General features: G+C 51.7%; 1 protein-coding gene and 1 long non-coding RNA gene across 66 annotated transcripts in view, besides 5 other annotated features; one reads left to right on the top strand and one right to left on the bottom strand.

Annotated features, from left to right (window-relative positions):
* The window catches only part of RALGPS1 (Ral GEF with PH domain and SH3 binding motif 1), a 308385-nt gene that overhangs the window by 30147 nt on the left and 259503 nt on the right, over positions 1 to 18735 (bottom strand). For 54 of the 55 annotated variants that reach the window (XM_011519233.2, XM_047424120.1, NM_001322321.2 and 51 more), the window contains one exon: positions 18238 to 18305. In XM_011519233.2, the coding sequence (XP_011517535.1) occupies positions 18238 to 18305 (68 nt within the window). Of the gene's footprint in view, positions 1 to 14488; positions 15124 to 18237; positions 18306 to 18735 lie in introns of those variants that run through there. The other variant, NM_001190730.2, reaches the window with a different exon arrangement.
* Positions 3753 to 3812: an enhancer, noted in NCBI's record as "active region_29034". NCBI's record gives its function as "activates an Ori minimal core promoter by ATAC-STARR-seq in GM12878 lymphoblastoid cells {active_cell/tissue: GM12878}" and the evidence as "EXISTENCE:reporter gene assay evidence [ECO:0000049][PMID:35858748]".
* Positions 6415 to 6915: an enhancer, noted in NCBI's record as "H3K4me1 hESC enhancer chr9:129948384-129948884 (GRCh37/hg19 assembly coordinates)". NCBI's record gives its function as "activates a minimal SCP1, AML or CMV promoter by ChIP-STARR-seq in primed H9 embryonic stem cells {active_cell/tissue: H9 hESC(primed)}" and the evidence as "EXISTENCE:reporter gene assay evidence [ECO:0000049][PMID:30033119]".
* Positions 7184 to 15043, top strand: LOC105376278 (uncharacterized). Of its 11 annotated transcripts, none has more exons than XR_007061789.1 (6): positions 7184 to 7276; positions 7516 to 7598; positions 12271 to 12415; positions 12510 to 12754; positions 13005 to 13186; positions 13826 to 15043. It is a non-coding gene; the product is annotated as an uncharacterized LOC105376278 (long non-coding RNA). The 11 variants fall into 11 exon arrangements; XR_007061787.1 differs by adding an exon at positions 8996 to 9092 and having other exon boundaries at positions 12510 to 13186; XR_007061790.1 differs by having other exon boundaries at positions 7516 to 7639; positions 13462 to 15043.
* Positions 8320 to 8890: an enhancer, noted in NCBI's record as "H3K4me1 hESC enhancer chr9:129946409-129946979 (GRCh37/hg19 assembly coordinates)". NCBI's record gives its function as "activates a minimal SCP1, AML or CMV promoter by ChIP-STARR-seq in naive H9 embryonic stem cells {active_cell/tissue: H9 hESC(naive)}" and the evidence as "EXISTENCE:reporter gene assay evidence [ECO:0000049][PMID:30033119]".
* Positions 8637 to 8706: an enhancer, noted in NCBI's record as "active region_29033". NCBI's record gives its function as "activates an Ori minimal core promoter by ATAC-STARR-seq in GM12878 lymphoblastoid cells {active_cell/tissue: GM12878}" and the evidence as "EXISTENCE:reporter gene assay evidence [ECO:0000049][PMID:35858748]".
* Positions 11623 to 12122: an enhancer, noted in NCBI's record as "H3K4me1 hESC enhancer chr9:129943177-129943676 (GRCh37/hg19 assembly coordinates)". NCBI's record gives its function as "activates a minimal SCP1, AML or CMV promoter by ChIP-STARR-seq in naive and primed H9 embryonic stem cells {active_cell/tissue: H9 hESC(naive and primed)}" and the evidence as "EXISTENCE:reporter gene assay evidence [ECO:0000049][PMID:30033119]".

The following is an 18735-nucleotide window of genomic DNA, read 5'->3' as shown; positions in this document are numbered from 1 at the left end:
GCTCCTCCAGTCACTCAGCTCTGACTTCTGTACCTAATGACACATCCACTGACCTCCTTCTTGCCAAATCAATGAAGGCTCGTCAGCCTCCTCCCAGAGCCCTTGGCACCTGGTGCTCGGGGTCACTCCTTCTCAAAATGCCCTCCTTCCTTGGCAGGCACTATGCCACACTCTCCTGCTTCTCCCTGTGCCTCTTCAATCACTGTCACCACCTCTTCCGTGAGATCCTTCTCTTCCTCTAACACCCCTCATGCTGGAGTTGTCCACACAGGACTCCCTCTTTGGCTCCTGTTTTTTCTTTGATTGGATAGCTGATGACTCTTAAATCTTGACTACAGTCCTCTTTTCTTTTCTTTTTTTTTGACACAGGGTCTGGCCCTGTCACCCAGGATGGAGCGCAGTGATGCTATGATGGCTCGCTGCAGCCTCGACCTCCCCGGCTCACCAGCTCAAGCAACCCTGTCAGCTCAGCCTCCTGAGTAGCTGGGATCACAGGAGGGTGCCACCAGGCCTGGCCCAGACCTCTTTTCTGAGCCTGAGACCCATACATCCACCTCTTGGCACCATCCCTCCATCTGCCCTTTCCTAAGATGCATCAAGTGCAGCACAGCTAAGGCTAAGCCTGCAACTCCTTCTCCTGTTTCCAGCCTTGGCTGGAGGCACTGTGGGTTGCCCAGTCGCCTGGCCTGGAATGGGAGCCCACCCTCGGCTCCTGCCACACGGCAACTTGCCTCTTCTCTCCTCCCTTTCCCTCCTCACTTGCTGCACAGTCATCATGGCCTCCAGACTCTGCACAGCCCCTCCCTGCCCACCTCTCTTGTCACTGACTGGTCTGGGCCCCCACATTTTATTGTCTTCCTGCCTCCAGTCTGATCTTCTAAAATCTAACCCAAGCACAGCTTCATAAGTATTTGAAAAACGTGAAGCTAACCATGTCACCGCCTTGCTTGAAATCATCCATGACATGGTGTTCAAAGTTCTTCCTGACCTGGCCATTTAAGCCACTCTTAAAATCCCAGTGGAGGCCGGGCGCCGTGGCTCACGCCTCTAATCCCAGCACTTTGAGAGGCCGAGGCGGGCAGATCACAAGGTCAGGAGATCAAGACCATCCTGGCTGACACGGTGAAACCCCGTCTCTACTAAAAATACAAAAAATTAGCCGGGCGTGGTGGCAGGTGCCTGTAGTCCCAGCTACTCGGGAGGCTGAGGCAGGAGAATGGCGTGAACCTGGGAGGCAGAGCTTGCAGTGAGCCGAGATCGTGCCACTGCACTCCAGCCTGGGTGACAGAGTGAGACTCCATCTCAAAAAAAAAAAAAAACAAAAAAAAACCCAAAAAACAAAAACAAAAAAACCTGATGGAAAAGAAAAAAGACAGAGTAGCCAAGACTATTCTGAAGAAAAACAGTGCAAGACTTGCCCTACTGGATGGCAGAACAAAACCTAAAGCAGTAGTATTCAAAGAGTGTGGTATTGGGCATGGATGCAGACACAGTTCAGTGAATACAAAGTGAGAGCCCGACATGCTTCCTGATGGTGGCGGCATTACCAGTCAGTGGGGAAAGGAGGAACTTTTCAGGATGAGGGGCAAAACCACTGGGTTCCATGTGGAAAAAGACAAAATTAGAGTCCTGCCTTATGTTAAGCAAGTGGATTAATGTCACAAATGTGAAAAGCAAAACTACTGGGAAAAAAATAGGAGACAATCATTATAATCTTGGGGAAAGGGAAGAAAGAAAAAACACAAATCCTAAAGGAAGAGATGAATAAATTTGACAACATTTAAATGTCTGTACCAAAACAACCGACCAAAAACGACATCAAAATCAGTGTTAAAAGGCGAATCACAGTCTGGGAGAAGGTATGTGTCACCCCTAAACCAACACAGGATTAGCTTTCAGATACACAGAGAACTTCAAATATCTGTAAGAAAGGACAAACCACACAGAGAGAACAAGCAAAAGATATGAAAGGCAAATTCAAGGAACAGAGTCTCCAAATGGCCAGTAACAATAAGGAAAGACGCTTAACCCCACTGGTAATAATGGAAATGCAAATGAGAGTAAAAGGAGATATCTTTTTATTACAACAGATGGTAAAAAAATAAAAAATTTAGCCTGACAATGTATTGCATTGGCAGAAGGGGAGGAACAGGAACTCTAGTTTGGGGCTTATATGAAGGTGAAATATTTGGAAAGCAATGAGCAGTGCTGAATAAAGGAAGATGCCCTGCCTTTTATACCTGGTGATTCTAATTGAGGTTTTTACTCTAGAGAAACTCCTGCATATATACACGAGGAGCCACATACACAAGGATGCTCAAGGTAGCATTGTGCGTCATTGCAAAAAAGCAGAAACAAGCTACATGCCAATCAGTAGGGAAATAGATAAATGAGCTGTGGTTTATTTACAACAAATTCTACAAAGAGAAGAAACTGCATCTACAGGTATCAATACAGATAAATCGTAAAAACTTATGTTTCAGCCTGGGCAACACAGTGAAACCCCGTCTCTAAAAAAAAATACAAAACCTAGTCCAGTACGGTGGTGTGCACCTGCAGTCCCAGCTACTCAGGAGGCTGAGGTGGGAGGACTGCTCGAACCCAGGAGGTGGAGGCTGCAGTAAGCTGATATCATGCCACTGCACTCCAGCCTGGGCAACTGAGACCCTGTCTCAAAAAACAAACAAACAAACAAACAAAACCCAAAACTTATGTTAAGTGGAGAGAGTAAGTTGCAAAAGAATGTTTATGGCATTATGCCACTTAGGTCAAATTTTTACAAACACACAAAACAACAGTATATATGTTTACACACAAGTACATATGCAGTAAAACGCAAAACCTGCACAAGAATAATGTAAATCAGCACAGCAGTAACTGTAGGGAGGAAAGGGAAATGAGGCAGGATGGGGGTGAGAGGCCTTCCCTCTGTGTGTAGTATTAATACTTAAAGAAATATGTGGTGAACCTGGCAAAATGTTAACTGCTATTAAATACGGATAGTGAGGACAATAGGTATTCTCTATGCATTAACTATTTCATTATTTAAAGTGAGACTACTTTAAAAATAGTGGCCACCTACTCTGTGCCAGGTGCTGTGCTGGAATCTCCACCTGCCCCTCCAGATTTGTCCTCCACCCTTCTCCACCCTGTGCCACGGACCAGGGGGCTGCATATGGGGCTAGGTCAGTAGGCTCCCTGGCCCGCTCTGGCCCCTCGCTGGGTTAGGCTGACGGGGAGCTGCCTCCTTTGGCTCTCTGCCTGTGGGGTCCCTCCTGAGAGGTGGCAGTCTATTTCTAACCCTGGGGTACTGAGCTGTCCTTTGGGGTCCCCACACTCTGCCCACATCTTTGTAAATAGCCCCATTCTGAAACTCTCCTCCAACCACCCAACTTGTATCATTTGTGTCTGCCTTGACCCTGTAGTGCCTTCACATTTAATCCACACAGCACTCCTCTGAGGTCTGTATTATTAGCTTCAACTTGCAAGTAGAGTAGTAGAAGCTCAGTGGGTAGGCACCAAGCATGCGTCCAGAACCTGGCTGGCGACGGGGTTAGGTTCAAGTCTAGGCCTTGTGGGTGCATGGAGCAGACACCTGGGATCACCTGCCCAGCACCTTCTCAGGAAGCACGTTCTCCTCCCACTGATGGAGACAGGGGAGGCAATGCCAGTCCAAAGCGGCCTCGCCTCTGGCCCCAGCTGATGGGTCTACGAGTGGATACACTCCCCAGGACTGTTGGATTTGAGCCTAGAAAGCATTTGAGGACAATCTCTGTTTGATGAATGAGAAATAAAACCTAGATACTAAGGATGGCCATGTTTCCCTGCTTGTGGTGAGGGAATCTGATCTGTGGTGACAGAAAAAGAAAGTAACCTCACTGAGTGAGGCCACAAAGCAAGGTGGAAGAGAGTTCTGTTTCAGCTGTTCCTGACACCCAGTGTGTCCCTGGCCTGGCTGTTCAGCCCTCCCTGGATTCTGTGAGCCAATGGGGTTTTTTTTTTTTTTTTTTTTTTTTTTTTTTGAGACAGTCTTGCTCTGTCGCCCAGGCTGGAGTGCAGTGGTGCCATCTTGGCTCACTGCAACCTTCACCTCCTGCATTCAGGTGATTCTCATGCCTTAACCTCCCAAGCAGCTGGGATTATAGGCGTACGCCACAATGCCTGGCTACATTTTTTTTTTTTTTTTTAGTAGAGATGGGGTTTCTTAGTCTTTAGTACAGATGGGGTTTTGCGACCATGTTGGCCAGGCTGGTCTCAAGCTCCTGGCCTCAAGTGATCCACCGATCTCAGGCTCCCAAAGTGCTGGAATTGCAGGCATGAGCCACTGCAACCAGCCCAATGGATCCTCTTTTGGTTGAAGTCAGCCAGTCTGTCTTTGTTGCTACAGTTCAAAGAACCTTAACAAAGAGACCCCACCACCCGACACTGCCTCTTGGCACAGCTGCCTAGATAAACCAGCCTGGTGGCAGGAGAGAGGAGAGGCTCTCTGAGGCCCCAGTTCCTGCTTTCAGATGGCATCTCAAGAACAGGATCTGACAGACCAATCCACCGTAATGGAACTGGAGAGGCATGACTCTAAAGGAAAGGTTTGTGGCTTAGACTTCACAAACCCAGGAGAGGTGTATAGAGGACTGAAAGTGCAGCTAAGCTTTTGTATCTGTGCATTTTCCCCGCAAGGGGTTCCATGTGGTCATCAGCTTCTTTGAGGCTCGGGCGGATCACGAGGTCAGGAGTTTGAGACCAGCCTGGCCAATATGGTGAAACCCTGTCTCTACTAAAAAACACAAAAAATTAGCCGGGTGTGGTAGCAGGCACCTATAGTCCCAGCTACTCAGGAGGCTGAGGCAGGAGAATCACTTGAACCCAGGAGGCAGAGGTTGCAGTGAGCCTAGATCGCGCCACTGCACTCCAGCCTGAGCAACAGAGTGAGACTCCGTCTAAAAAAAAAAAAAAAAAAAAAAAAGGCTCTAATTCTTAACCAAAGAATATATCAGAACCATCTGGAGAGAGTGTTAAAAACGGAGTTTCTTGGGCCACCCCTGGAGGTTGATTCTGTGGGCCACAGGTGGGTCTGGGCATTGCAGACCTGGAGCCAAAGCTCTCCAGGTGATTCTGCTGTGCACCCCGGGGGAAGAAACTCTGCTCAAAGCGCTGCAACACAGGCAGGCTCCGTTCCAAAGGAAACATCTCGTGCAGTTGTTCCAGAAAGGAAAACGAAGAATGAAAACCATCCTGCTTTGTTTTGGTTTTGCACATATTGCTCAAGAAACAAATCCATGTAGAGGGTGGATCTTGCCTTGTTTATCAGCAGCCATGCGCGAGGGATTACAGTCTCACTGCCTGAGTCACTCTGGCTCCCACCCTGACTCAGAAAAGTGTTTTCTAAAGGTCAAATTGCATTGCTCCTCCCTTGCGGTTTGGAGTGGAACCCAAGGCTACCTGGTGTTGTGGTAGTAATAATAATGATGATAATTATAATCTAATGTAATGCGCCCAGCGCTATGCTCTGTACCTGTGCCACAAGACTTGAGGTGGAAACTCTTAGTAGCCCCATTTTACAGATCAGAAAGTGGGGCTTACAGAGCTACTGCACGCTGGAGGCAGGACTTGATCCCAGGTGTGCCGCACTCTTGTGGTGGCTGGGGAGGAAGGCTAGCTGTTCAGAGGTCAGGCGCTGGTCAGAACATGAGGAAGGAGGAACACGGTGGCCATATCTGAAGTGATCTAGTAAACAGGAGACATTTCCTCCAGGAAGTCTGTAGTGGGTAAGACCCAGTTACTACCCTTGAGGAAAGGAAGGTGATGGGAACTAGCATCTATTATGCACTGTGTGCCAGACTTGAGTAAACACTTCCAAGTCCTGTTCCTTGACTCCTATGAGGTTAGTAACTTTTATCATCGCCATTTTAAAGGAAGGCTCAGAGGCACTCTGCAGTCACACAGCTGGAGGGGTGCAGTGAGACGCGGAGGCTCCAAGTCTCTTCTGGTAACTTCTTCGGCCCTTCCTGCTCACTCCTGCCTGACTCCTTTTCCTGTCTGTCTCCATGTGCTTCCTGCCTCTAGCTCCGATTCCCATGCCCAGTCTCTCCCAAACCCACTGGACTTGCCCTTGGTCTCTTCCATTCAATTCTTGACTCTCCCTCCAGGACTAGGCCTGGATCTGCCACCTCTTCTTTCGGCTGTGGATGGCCCTGGGAGACACGCCTGGCCTCAGATGCCCCTTGACCCAACTGGAGGAAGGGTGGGGGGCCCAGCAGAAAAGCCTGCAGCCTCCCTGGGCACCGTTTCAAAGCTGATGCTGCTCTCCCTGCTCTGGGTCTCAGCTCCTCCCCTCTTCTGCATTGTTGACCAACAGCCTGGGTCTGACGCGGAAGCAGAAGAATTCCCATTCAACTGGGCCCCAGGGATGGGGGGCCTCTCTGCCAGTAAGTGACACCCTCTGCTACTGAAAGGCCTCATGTTCCTGCCCTGCCAAGCCTGGGGTGGCCACCACGTGACAGCACCAGGGACACGTGTCTTCTGGGACCGCTTGTGAGCTGGGTGGCTGGCAAGTTTGTTTCTCCATGTCCCGCAGCAGGGGCAAGGGTGTGGGTGGTCATAATGCACCAGGGCTCTGGGCGGGCTGAGCAGAGTGCAGTTCCTGCTGCCAGCCCCGATATGGCACGGACAGCTGGAAAAACTGACCATGTGGCTTGACTATCTCAGAGGATTGCTCCATTTTTCCTCAGCATAATTTTTCCATGAATAATCTTTAAAGCTCTTTAAGTGGCTGTTTCTTTAGCAGTTTTATTGGAACATATGAGAACTGACAGTCTCTGTGGGGAACGAGATATCATGTTGAAAAAAAATCTGGTTTTCATTACACTTCTTTCAAGAAAGCAACAGGCTGCCCAACAGACCTCTCATTGATTGGAAGAGAAATGAGCCCAGAGCCTCCTAACAACAGCCTTGGAGTGGACAGGATGATGAACAGTGATGCCAAAGACTCAGGATCTGAAGGCAGACAGGCCTGGTCCACCACCTGTGTCTGCCATTTGCAGGATGAGTGACCTTGAGTAGGTCACCTCACACCTCTGAACCTGAATTCTACATCTGCAAAACAGGAATGATGACCCTGACTGACAGCCTCCCTGTGAGGAGTAAGCCATACAGCATCCCTCCCTCCTTCACGTGACAAACTTTTCCTGAGTCCTGACCTCGGGGGCAGGAGCTGGAGATACTACACTGGATTAGAAAGATGAGTTTCCAGTCAAGTGTGGGAGAGAGAAGTAGCCAGGTAATTACACCAGGAGAGACATCTACTTTTACATGAGAATAATAATAATAAATACGGTAAAGGCAACAACTACACCAGTAGTATAACTACAACAATAATGATGGTAATAATGACAGCAGCTAACATTTACTGAGCATCTACAAGGTGCCAGGAACTGTGATAAATGCTTTGTACACCTGATCTTATTTAAGCCTCACATTAACACTGCCATGCAAATACTGTTGCTATCTCACTTTTAGGATGTAGAACCTGACAAGGGAAGAGTTCAGGAACTTGCCCAGTTGAGCAGCCAGTGAACGGGACAGCCCTGAGCACGGTGCACGTGAGAACACAGAGGGGACCCCTGGAGGGCCTGATGTCCAGGTGGGTGCAAGAGCTCCAGCAGGAGCAGTGATGGATGCAGACAGAACAGCATGTGCACAGACTCGGGTTGACAGAGAGCAAGGCCTTTGAAGAAGCCTGGAGTTCAACGAGGGGAAGGTGTAGAGATTTTTAGGAAGGGGCACTGATGCATTCAGATGTGTACCCTAGAAAGTTTGCTTTGGTTGGAGAGCAACCAGATGTGGCCAAGACTTGACACCACAGGCTGGGGGTATGGAGGGAGGGGGACTTGGGGTGACCGTCGGTGGAGTGGTATCCCTGGTACTGTCAGGTTCTGGGGACACGATGAGAAGTTCATTTTGGGATTGATATCTGGAGGCCACTGGGTAGATGGGCATAGTGCTCATGGCTGCGGAGGAAGACATGTGTTTGGGATGGGAAGCCTCGTTCCCACGGATTTCCGGCAGCATCCAAGTGGCCTGCCTGGGACAGCACTGCCCTATTTAAGCAGCCTGGCAGCCCTGCTGCCGCTCACAGGGGCACTTTCCAAGTATCGCACATCAGAAATTAATGGGAGGCAGCTGTGGCAGAGGGGAAACTACTCAGCTTGGAGTCACAAGACTTGGGTTCCAGTCCAGCCTCTGCCCCACGCTGAGCTGGGAGCTCACAGTCCAGTCTCATTCTTTGGAGCCTGCGTTTTCTCACTGGAGGAGGGGGCTTGACAACTGTGCAACCGGGTGCTCTTGCAGGTACCACTCTGAGCCTCTGGTGCACACGGTGACTTTCACCTAATGTGAAGGGGGCTCAGTGTCCTCAGTGTTTCTCCTGCCCAGGCTGAGAATCCGGTTCCCAAGGACTCAGGCCCTCTCCAGGTCTGCCAGACCCTGTGGCTCTCCAGGACACTGGGGCCCCTCTGCACAGAAAGTCTGTGTTGAAACCCTTCTCTGGCCAGGTTTCACAGTGGAGCCTGGGAGCTGGTCACTTTCACATTCACACACATTGTTTCTCATACATGCAGCTCTCACGAGTTCTCGCTGTCAGCCAAGAGCTGTCTCACACATCATTTAGAGGGCCTGGTTCATTTCCTTTTTTTTTTTTTTCCTGAGACAAGGTCTTGCTCTGTCACCCAAGCTGGAGCGCGGTGGCGCGATCACGGCTCACTGTAGCCTCCCCCTCCTGGGATCAAGCGATCTCGCCTAAGCCCTGAGGAGCTGGGGCTGTAGGCACGCACCACCATGCCCAGATCATTTATATACTTTTGTAGAGATGGGGTTTTGCCATGTTGCCCAGGCTGGTCTTGAACTCCTGGGCTCAAGTGATCCTCCTGCTTCGGCTTCCCAAAGTGCTGGGATTACAGGTGAGAGCCACTGCACCTGGTTGACCTTGATCATTTCTTAGATTCCTAGGCCACGGGGAGCGCGGAGCAGCAGATGCTGGGGGAGCCGCTGGTACTCGTGAGGAGCTGGGCCACATCCAGGCAGGGTGTTGGCCAGAGGTGGGTTTGAGTCTTGCCTCTTCTGCTTGACCTTGATGTGACAGGCTGCTGAGATGGGAGACTCAAGAACAAAGGAGATGTGAAATCCCAGAGTAATGGGCCACAACTGGCCTCCTATCCCTGAGGTCCTCATGGAGGGCCCCTCCCACCCATCCATTCCGAAAATATAAACGGGCAGAGAGAGTATGTTTCCAGAGAGAGGAGCACATGGAGAGAGGGCCTACAGCTTGCCCCTGGCTGTTCTCTTTTTCTACTCACACATAGTCAGGCGGAGTCTCCACAGACCCCCTGCGGAGGTTGAACTATGTCTCTAGCAGTCAGGAGACCCAGGGGAGCTACTGTGCCTTACTCAGGCCTGATGAGGCCAAACGGCTGTGCCAGAAGACAGCGGTGGCCACAGGCAGGTCTGTTGTGCTCACAGGTCTGTTAGAATGAGGACAGGTACGGCCTCCTGTGGACCGAGGTGGCCCATGTGAGGAAAGCTGGCAGAGTTGAGGGCTGGAGGGGACCCAAACATCAGGAAGCTGGCAGTGGGCACCAGACTTTGCGGGGGGGCATGGAAGGGGCTGCAGGGGTCCCCAAAATAGGTTTGCATCTGCCTGGGTCAAGGGACTTGTGGAATCTCTGAAATACCCACGGAAGTGCCTGGGAGAAGAAGCATCAGCGATATCGGCTGCCAGCTAGAAGGCCCTGTGAAATGGTTTGCCCCTCCAAATGTCATGTTGAAATGTGATTCCCAGTGTTGGAGGCGAGGCCTGGTGGGGTGACTGGGTCGGGGGCGGATCCTTCATGAATGGCTTAGCACCATCCCCCTGGTGATGAGTGAGTTCTCACTCAGTTCACGGGAGGTCTGGTTGTTTAAAAGTCTGGGAACTTGCCTCTCCTCACCCCTGAATCTCTTGCTTCTGCTCTCACCATGTGACATGCTTGTTCATCCTTCACCTTCTGTAAGCTTCTTGAGGCCCTCACCAGAAGCCAAGCAGATGTTGGTGCCATGCTTGTAAAGCTTGCAGAACTGGGAGCCAATTAAACCTCTTTTTAAAATAAATTACTCAGCCTCAGGTATTTATTTATGGTGATGCAAGAATGGCCTAACACAGAAAATAGGTACTAGGAGTGGGGTATTTTCTGTATTAGTACATTTGCATTACTATAAAGGGATACCTGAGGCTGGATAATTTATAAAGAAAAGATGTTTAGGCTGGGCATGGTGACTCACGCCTGTAATCCCAGGACTTTGGGAGGCCAAGGTGGGCAGATCACCTGAGGTCAGGAGTTCAAGAGCAGCCTGGCCAACATAGTGAAACCCATCTCTACTAAAAATACAAAAATTTGCTGGGCATGGTGGCGGGCGACTGTAATCCCAGCTACTCGGGAGGCTGAGGCAGGAGAATCACTTGAAGTCAGGAGACAGAGGCTGCAGTGAGCCGAGATCACATCACTGCACTCCAGCCTGGGTGACAGAGCGAGACTCCGTCAAAAAAAAAAAAAAAGGAAGGAAGGAAGGGAGGAAGGAAGGGAGGAAGGAAGGGAGGGAGGGAGGGAGGGAGGGAGGGAGGAAGGAAGGAAGGAAGGGAGGAAGGAAGGAAGGAAGGCAGGAAGGAAGGAAGGAAGGTAGGTAGGTAGGCTTAACTGGCTCATGGTTCTACAGGCTGTAAGGAATTATGCTGCCAGCATCTGCTTCTAGTGATGGCCTCAGGAAGCTAAGGTACAAGTTACCACGCCTTGCTAATTTTTTTTTTTTTTTTTAAACAGATGGGGTTTTGCCATATTGCTCAGGCCGGTCTCAAACTCTACTCTGGGCTCAAGCCATCTGCCTGCCTCAGCCTCTCAAAGTTCCAGGATTACAGGCATGAACCACCACGCCTGGCCCCTTAAACATGAGATCTGCAGGGGAAACATACTCTCGCTGCCCGTTTATATTTTCAGAATGGATGGGCGGGAGGGGCCCTCCTTGAGGAGCTCCAGGGATAGGAGGCCAGTTGTGGCCCATTATTCTGGGATTTCACATCTCCTTTGTTCTTGAGTCTCCCATCTCAGCAGCCTTGACATCAAGGTCAAGCAGAAGAGGCAAGACTCAAACCTACCTCTGGCCAACTCCTTGCCTGGATGTGGCTCATATGACCCTATGCTCCAATTACGACTGTATCCTCTCCCCCAGTTGCCACAGGCCAAAGAGATGGAGAAAGGCCTAGGGAGGGAGAAGGGCCAAACACTCCTCCTCTCTTGCCACAAGCAGCCAGGCCTGAAGCACCCCAACTAGGTTGTAACAAGGAGATTAGAGTTAATGTTAGATCAGGTTTGGAGTTCTGATTCTTACATGGAAGTTGCCTTCTGAGGACCAACTGGGGACAATGTGTGACTCAAAAGTGACTGTAGGAAAGTCAAGGACATGCCAATGTAATGCCTACTTGCACTATACGGATATATGGAGCTGTGGGGACAGAGCCTCAGAGGCTGTCCAGAGCCTTGGGCTTGGCAACTGGTTCTGCCACTTCCTCAATGCATGAGGCTGCGCGAGCACCTGCATCTTCACCTGTAGAATGGGGATGACATTGGCCCCACCTCACAGTGTCTGTGTCAGGGTCACTGAGTGAGCACATGACAAGCACTTACGATGGTGCTTGGCAGAGAGTACAGGCTCAAAGCAGCTTAGCTGCTATGACTGGTATTACGTAACTCTTGGAGCCTCTGTTTCCCTCCTGTGGAACAGCTGAGGTGCTGGCTTTAAAACCTGTCCACAAAGTCTTTGATGCTGCTCCCATTCAGTGGTAGGGTCTACGTCCCTCTCCTTGGACCTGCAGGCTTTCGTGACTGCCCTGAGCAGCAGAGTGTGGCAGCAGTAAGGCTGCGTGACTTCTGAGGCTGGCTCATAAGGGCTCTGTGATGCAGGTTCTACCCTGCTCTCCTTAGCCATTTGCTCTGGGTGAAAGCCAGCTGCCCTGCAGGAGGCTGCAATACTGAGGCTGCCATGCTGTCAGGAGGCCCAGGCCACAGTGGGGGGCCACAGGTAAGTGTTCTGCGCCCCCCGCTTGTAGCTCAAGCCCCATCTGGCAGCAAGCACTGAGCATGTGAGTGAAGATGGCTCCAGGTGACTCCAGCTCCAGCCGGAGCCCTGTTCAGCTTCCTGACCGACAGAGTCTATGCATGTAATAAAATGGTTGTTTCATGCCCTTAGGTTCTGGGGTGGCTCGTGAGTGACAGCAGTACTGGTATGCTGGTGAGTGCCTCAGCAGGAGCTCCCTCTGTCCCCCTACCAACTCCCCGATGTCTGGACGGCACCAGAGCCCGCCTGGGAGGCCACGAGCTAACACTCTCAAGAGGTAAGTGTATGCCAGGGGCTGGACTAAGGGGACTTCCCCAGAGACCCTGTGAAGTATGTCTGTATGAAGATTCCTATTCCTATTTCTCCAATAGGAAAACAGGGGGATCAAACCAATGACCCAAGGGCCTACAGCTAAGAACTGCTGGAGCCAGGCTCTGAACTGAGCTCTGCCTGACTCCAGAGGTGGTTTCTACCACCAGGCAATACAACAGGGAGACACGCAGGTGTGTCAGAGAGCAGTCCTCACAGTGCGAGCACAGAAACCAGAGGCCAAGGCTGAAGATTTTCCTGGACTCGCGGTGCTGCCCAGGAATCTTCTGAGAAAACCTGTCAGTTGGTAAAGCCACGTGGAGGCGGGGCTAACAAAATCTGGAAATGTCTTCACCAGTTCCAAAGTACACACAAACATTACTTGCCCTCTCTGGGGGTCAACGTTCTTTATGATTTTTTTCTCTCCAGGAAAATATTAGTTCATTTATAGAAACTAAACATTACATGTGGAGGGAAAATGGAAAACGTGGCATTCTTGGCCTTTTTTCTCCACAGACACAGAAACTGAGAAGGTTTCTCCATTTCCTTTCTCACAGCCTATTTGTTGGTGTGGAACTGCCTGTGAAGTCATTCTGCAGGGGTGGAAAGTGGGGGCCAGCTCTCTGTGGGCAACAGGGACCATCCCAGAGACAAAGGGCAGCCTCAGCCCACAGACCACTTCGGACTTGAATCAAGGCCTCAAAGGGCGAGACCTGGGCCACTGTCAATGTGAGGGCAGGTAGGCTGGGTAGAGGGGTAGAGGCGTGGGCGCTGCCTAGAAGAGGGCCAGAGAGACCGCCCGGCACATTGGTCTTGCTCCCACTGCCTCCTTTCAGCTCCTCAGTGTACCCATCCTTGCCCCTGGCAGCTTTTGCTGCCTGGTTCCCCGACTAAAATGTGAGCTTTGTGGGGAAGGTTCTTGCCTTGCTGGGCACCTGGCTCACAGCAAGTCCTTGGCCTGGAAGTCTTGGGTGAATGAATGAATGAACATGTCTTAGGGCCTCTCCTTTGCAGGTGTGGGGGATGTGCCTACTGGAAAGGGCACCGAGCTGAAGCCTAAACCCCCTCCTGAGGAGCCAGGGAAGCCTGCGTTCCTCCCATTCCCGGGACTGCAAGAGGCACATTCCTGTCCCTGAGTCTGGTCAGGCTCCTGCCACGCAGCTCAGTCTGGCTGCCAGGTCCAGAAAGGCCTCCCTGGAGCTGCCCCTCTGGCCCCACCCTTCCCAGGACCCCAGGCCACCCCACAGCTGCAGCAGCACCCACTCTCTGTCTTCTGAGGCTGCTAGTGGGAAGCTGGGACCCCCGAGTGTGTCTGAAACCTTCCAGGCACTCCTCGACCCTCTAGTGATCAATGAAAACCTTCACATCCTGCTTCCAGGGCTGAAGCCAGGGATTTGGAAAATTGGTGGAAAACACTCCTATGAGCTGGGGCTTGCTCTGCTGTGGAAAACTGCCAGCATCAGCACTTCTCCCAAGGCTGTGCCGAGTCAGCAGTCAGCCCACTCTGGAGCTGCCTCTGAGGACCAGGTGCCTACAGGACCCTGTAAGGAGCTTGAAGAGTTGTGGCTGACGGAGGGATTTCTGTCCTGGGCTCTAGGAATTCTAGACTGGGCCCTTCCTCAAGGAGCTTTCAGTCTGGCGGAGCAGACAGACATGGGCAAATAAGCCCACAACTAACTGTGCCATCACTGCAGAAGGAAGTGCCACGGAGGAGCATGAGGGCCAGTTGCAGGAAGGAGCCAGGGCCAGCATGTGCCTGTAAAAGCCAGATAGTAAATAGTTCACGCTCTGCAGGCCACAGGGTCTTTGTCCCAAGCACTCAACTCTGCCACTGCTGCATGAAAACAGCCACAGGCGATATGTCAACCAAAGAGGGGTGGTTGTGCCCATATGAAAACAGAGGGTGGATCTGTCCCACAGTTTGCCACAGCCTGGCTGTTAGACGGCCTGACCTGATTGGGGGTGGGGGTGATAGTGGGGAGAAGGCTTCCCCGAGGCAGTGATATTTAGCTAAAAGCTGCAGGCTGAGGCAATGATGGAGGCAGAATCACAATATGACAATTATGATAATCACATCACCATGATCAAGTTCCACCTAACACGTGTGTTCTATGTTGCGCACTGTGCTAATAACAACACTACCCTGTGAAGGAGGAAGATTTTATGCCCACTTTACAGATAGAGACACTGAGGCTTGGCAGTATGCTGAGTAGTCTGTTCACACAATTCAGCTGCATTTTTTGCCCTGCCCACTTGCCACTTCTGTTCGGGGGAGGCTGACCCCTGAGATGCATCTCCTGGACCCCTTGCCCCCAGCTTTCTATTGGATTTGGCCAATGAAAGGCTCTGGTGGCAGACTGAGGGCTGGAGGAAAGGGAGGCCAGGGATTTTTCTCTGCTCGCTCCTGCTTCCCCCTCCCTGCCCACAGACCCTGCACAGCCAATCATCCTCCAGAACTCAGCCATCCCTGGGATTGGTAACACTTCTTCCCCATGCCCTTTAGCCTAGGGCTCCACCCTCCCCAGGACCCTGGGCCGGCCCATGGGTGCCTCGCCATGCTTTATTGGTTCTGTTCATTAAAGTCTCTTCATGTGAACCATCTGGGGTCCATTCTGTCCCCTGCCAGGGCTCTGATGCTGGAGGTTGGCTGGCTTGCTGGTTTCTGGTCTCACATGGCTAATAAACAACAGAGCCAAGTAGAGGTGTGGGTGGATTGTGGGAAAGGAGGCTGTACCTGAGGAGGCTGGGCCAGGGCTGGCTCCTAGCTGCCCAGCTGACTTCCAGGACAGTCAGGGGTCAAAGGAGGCCAGGAAATGCAGTGCCTCCTTTCCTGCCCCAGGGACCAGTGAGTGACCCCATTCTTGAGGCCCCCAATTAGCACTTTTAGTTTTCTAAGCCTGGCTCCAGGTCTGCAACCTCCTGTTCTTCTCCCTACCCCTAGCAGCGGGAGCCAGTGTTGCTCAGCGCAGACCTGGGCTGGGGGCTAGGGCTGAGGCTGAGGCTGAGGCTGAGGCTGAGGCTGAGGCAGGGCCCTGGGCTCTTCCTCAGGGAGGAGATAGTGGGGCAGATGGTGGTGAAATGCAGGGACCAGCTGGGTCACATAGATGCCTGGAGGGGAAGAGGAAGCCTCTGTCGCCATCGCCCTGGCAGGAAGCAGCATGCAGGCGTGTTGAATGGCTGGTGCCAGGGAGAGCCAGGCTGGCAGATGAGGGCTTGGGCTGGAGGTGAAGGGTGGAGGCACCAGGGAGGAGGAGAGCCCTCTGAGGCTCAGTCGTGAGGCTGCAGCAACAGGATCTCCTCCACACTTGGGCTAGTGTATACCAGGGGCCCACCCAGAGCTGCAGCCTGGCTCTTCATCCACCCATCTATCCACCCACCCACCCACTCACCCATCCATCCCTCTCCTCCAAAAACCCTACGAAAATTGAGCATCTACAAAGGGCAGGCATAATGCCAGGTGCTAAAGATCCAACAAGGAATGAGTCGGGCCCAGTGACCAGACAGAGAATAATGACAAGTTGTGGTGAGTGCCATAAAGAAGCCAAGAGCTGAAATAAAGGCCACCCTGAGCCCAACAGGATGAGCAGGAGCAGACCACAAAAACAAGGGGGAGAATGTCTAAGGCTTGAGCGAGGGGCCTGGGGAGGAGAACTTCACAGAGGCCTTGCTACTCTCAGGCAGAGGTGAGGCTAGGGTGTGGCCTGTGGATGGACAGAGCCACTAGGGAAAGGCAGAGTTGGCTCACACCAAGGCGAACACCATCCTGTGCCTGACCCTGGGCTCTCCCACCTCTCCCTGCTCAGTGGCTCCAGCATGGAATCAGGCAGCAGGAAGGGGCACCGGGAGATGGGTATTCCAGAGCTGTCTGAAGGACAGCAAGTGTGGCATGGAGACTTCTTGGCATTTAAAGAAGTCCAGGGATGTGGCTCATCCTGTGAAGGCTATTGAACTGAAGAGGCTGCAAAGGCCAAACAGGCCTCTTATTCACACTAATTTGGAGGGGACTCGGAAGGACAGACCACCACTTTCATTTTGCTCCAGAATTCTGGCACTATCTCCCGATGCAATAGGCTAGTCTTTGCTAGCATTCCTTCTGTAGCTCTTAACAACTGCTGTCTCCTACAGTCTTCTGATAGGAACCCTGCCCTGCTCCCTCCTCGTCCCCCACAGGTCAGTTGTAGGTGACTGCGCACCTAAAAGGAGCAATGCTGACCGAGGGGGAAGGTGTTCTAGAATGGCAGAAATGACAAAGTAGAGACAAGACCAGCACTAGGAGCTTTCCTTCTGGCCACCTTTGCTGGGGGTCACCTGCCACATATGGAAGGCAATGGATTTGGAAGACTGCAAGAGATATTTTAATACTGGGCTTATGGAAACCCTGTGAAAATCAAGCTTCTGCCAGGACTGTCTTGAGGTATAGACAATAGCATTTCCGGAGACCCCGAGAATCAACCAGCATGTCTCTCTAAGATATCAGAGGCCCCCAGGGGTGCTGGAGGCAGGGTCTGGCTTGTCCAATGCAGCCAGGAGAGGCTGGAAAAGGCAAGCAGCCCGGAGTCCCCCCTGGGAATCAGGGCAGAGCCTTACTGGGTGGGGCTCATGAGAGGCTGCCACACTGGCCCTATGGGCTCTGTGGTCCTGTGTCCAGCAGGAGCTGTTACAGAGGTTGGCCTGGCACCAGAGAGTGGGGAGAGTGGCTTGAGCAGGTCAACGGGCTAGGGGAGGTGTGGCACCACGTAGCAGCTTGTAGCAGCCACCCCCTTACAAACAGGGCACATCAGACTCTGAGCCGAGTGCCTTCCAAATAGTATTTTGTTTTTGACATTCCAACGTTCCTGGGAGGAAGGTTTCATCATCCCATTTTATAGGATAAAAAAAAAAAAAAAAAAAAAAAAGGAGGCCCAAAGGGGTTAAGTCACTTGTCCAAGACTGCAGTGGCCTAGAACCCAGGGTGGTATGACCTAGAGCGCAAACCAGGGGGAGGAAGTGCTGTTGGGTTCCCCTTGACCCCCCACGCCCCCGACCTCTCCCTGGACAGCAGTGGAGATCAGCTCCTGTCGTTGAGAGTCAGTTGGAATATGAGTAAAAAGTAACCATTAAATAATAACGATGAAGCAGCCAACACTGAGCACACTTTCACAATGTCAGTGTGAGCAGAGCACTTTACAGGCAGGCATGAGCTTACTCAGGCATCACAACAACCCGAGAAGGTAAGTCGTCATATTATCTTCATTCTGTGGATGAGGCCACTGAAGATTACAGGTAAAGTGACAAAGCCAGGAAACAGCGGAGCTCGGGCTTGACTGCAAAGCCTGGGCTCAAATCACTAGGGGACAGTGTATGTGTGTGTGTTTCACAAGTCTGATGAGCCACCTGCATCTGGTGGCACCAGATACCCTGGGCATCCTCCGCACCCCTCCAGGGCACATAAACCCAAGCCTGGGCAGCAGCCCCGCTAAGGGTCTGGAGAGCCTGGAGAAGATGCTGGGGCTTTCTCTACCTTGTGTGTGCTCCCAACTTGGGGCTCTGATCCTGCCTCTCTTGGGGCTGTTCAGGCCCAGGCTCTAACACTCAGGCTCTTCCAGGGAGCCCCGGCACAGAGGGGAACCACAGAAGTCCCGCATGATCAGGAGCCTGGGCAGGCTGGTGCAGGAGGGCTGTGAACAGGGATAGCTGAGTCTGCTAAGCTGCAAACTTGATTTGCCCTTGGCCTCCCCGGTCAAGGCCAACTCTGGCAGCCACAATTAGGCTATTAAGTGGGTTTGCTCCCACTCGAGGTAGCTACGATACCTGCAAGATCTTCCTTGGAAGAGACTAGTCTTGGAGAGCTGCTTCCTGGTTCGATTCTGAGCGACAGTCTGAAAACAAAGATTTTCATAAGATCAGATGGGCTCTGGTTTACCACACAGGAACCTGTTTGGGGCTGGGAAAAGCTACTATAGTCACAGAAGCCAGGAATACTGTGAGATCTGCTCCAGATCACAGTCACTTCCCTCTGAGGTCTCCGGGGGTTTCCACAGCCAAGAAACAATGGTTAAGAAAGACAAAGTGAAAAGGAGTTGAGTGTGGCCTACTCTCTACTGAGCACAGATGTGTTCACTCTGAACCAGTACATTTTCTAGATGAGGAAACTGAGGAGTGGTGAGGTTAAGCAGCTTCCCCAAATTCATAGGATTAGCAAGTGGCAGAGTAGGGGATCAAACCCAGGAATGTGTGACCCTGAACCAGAGTTAGTTTTTTCTTTCTTTTCTTTTTTTTTCTTTCTTTCTTTCTCTTTCTTTCTCTTTC

Source organism: Homo sapiens, chromosome 9 (assembly GCF_000001405.40).
Source record: "Homo sapiens chromosome 9, GRCh38.p14 Primary Assembly".
Lineage (NCBI taxonomy): Eukaryota > Metazoa > Chordata > Mammalia > Primates > Hominidae > Homo > Homo sapiens.
The sequence above is the reverse complement of the archived record's forward strand: the minus strand, read 5'-3'. Positions and strand labels throughout refer to the sequence as shown.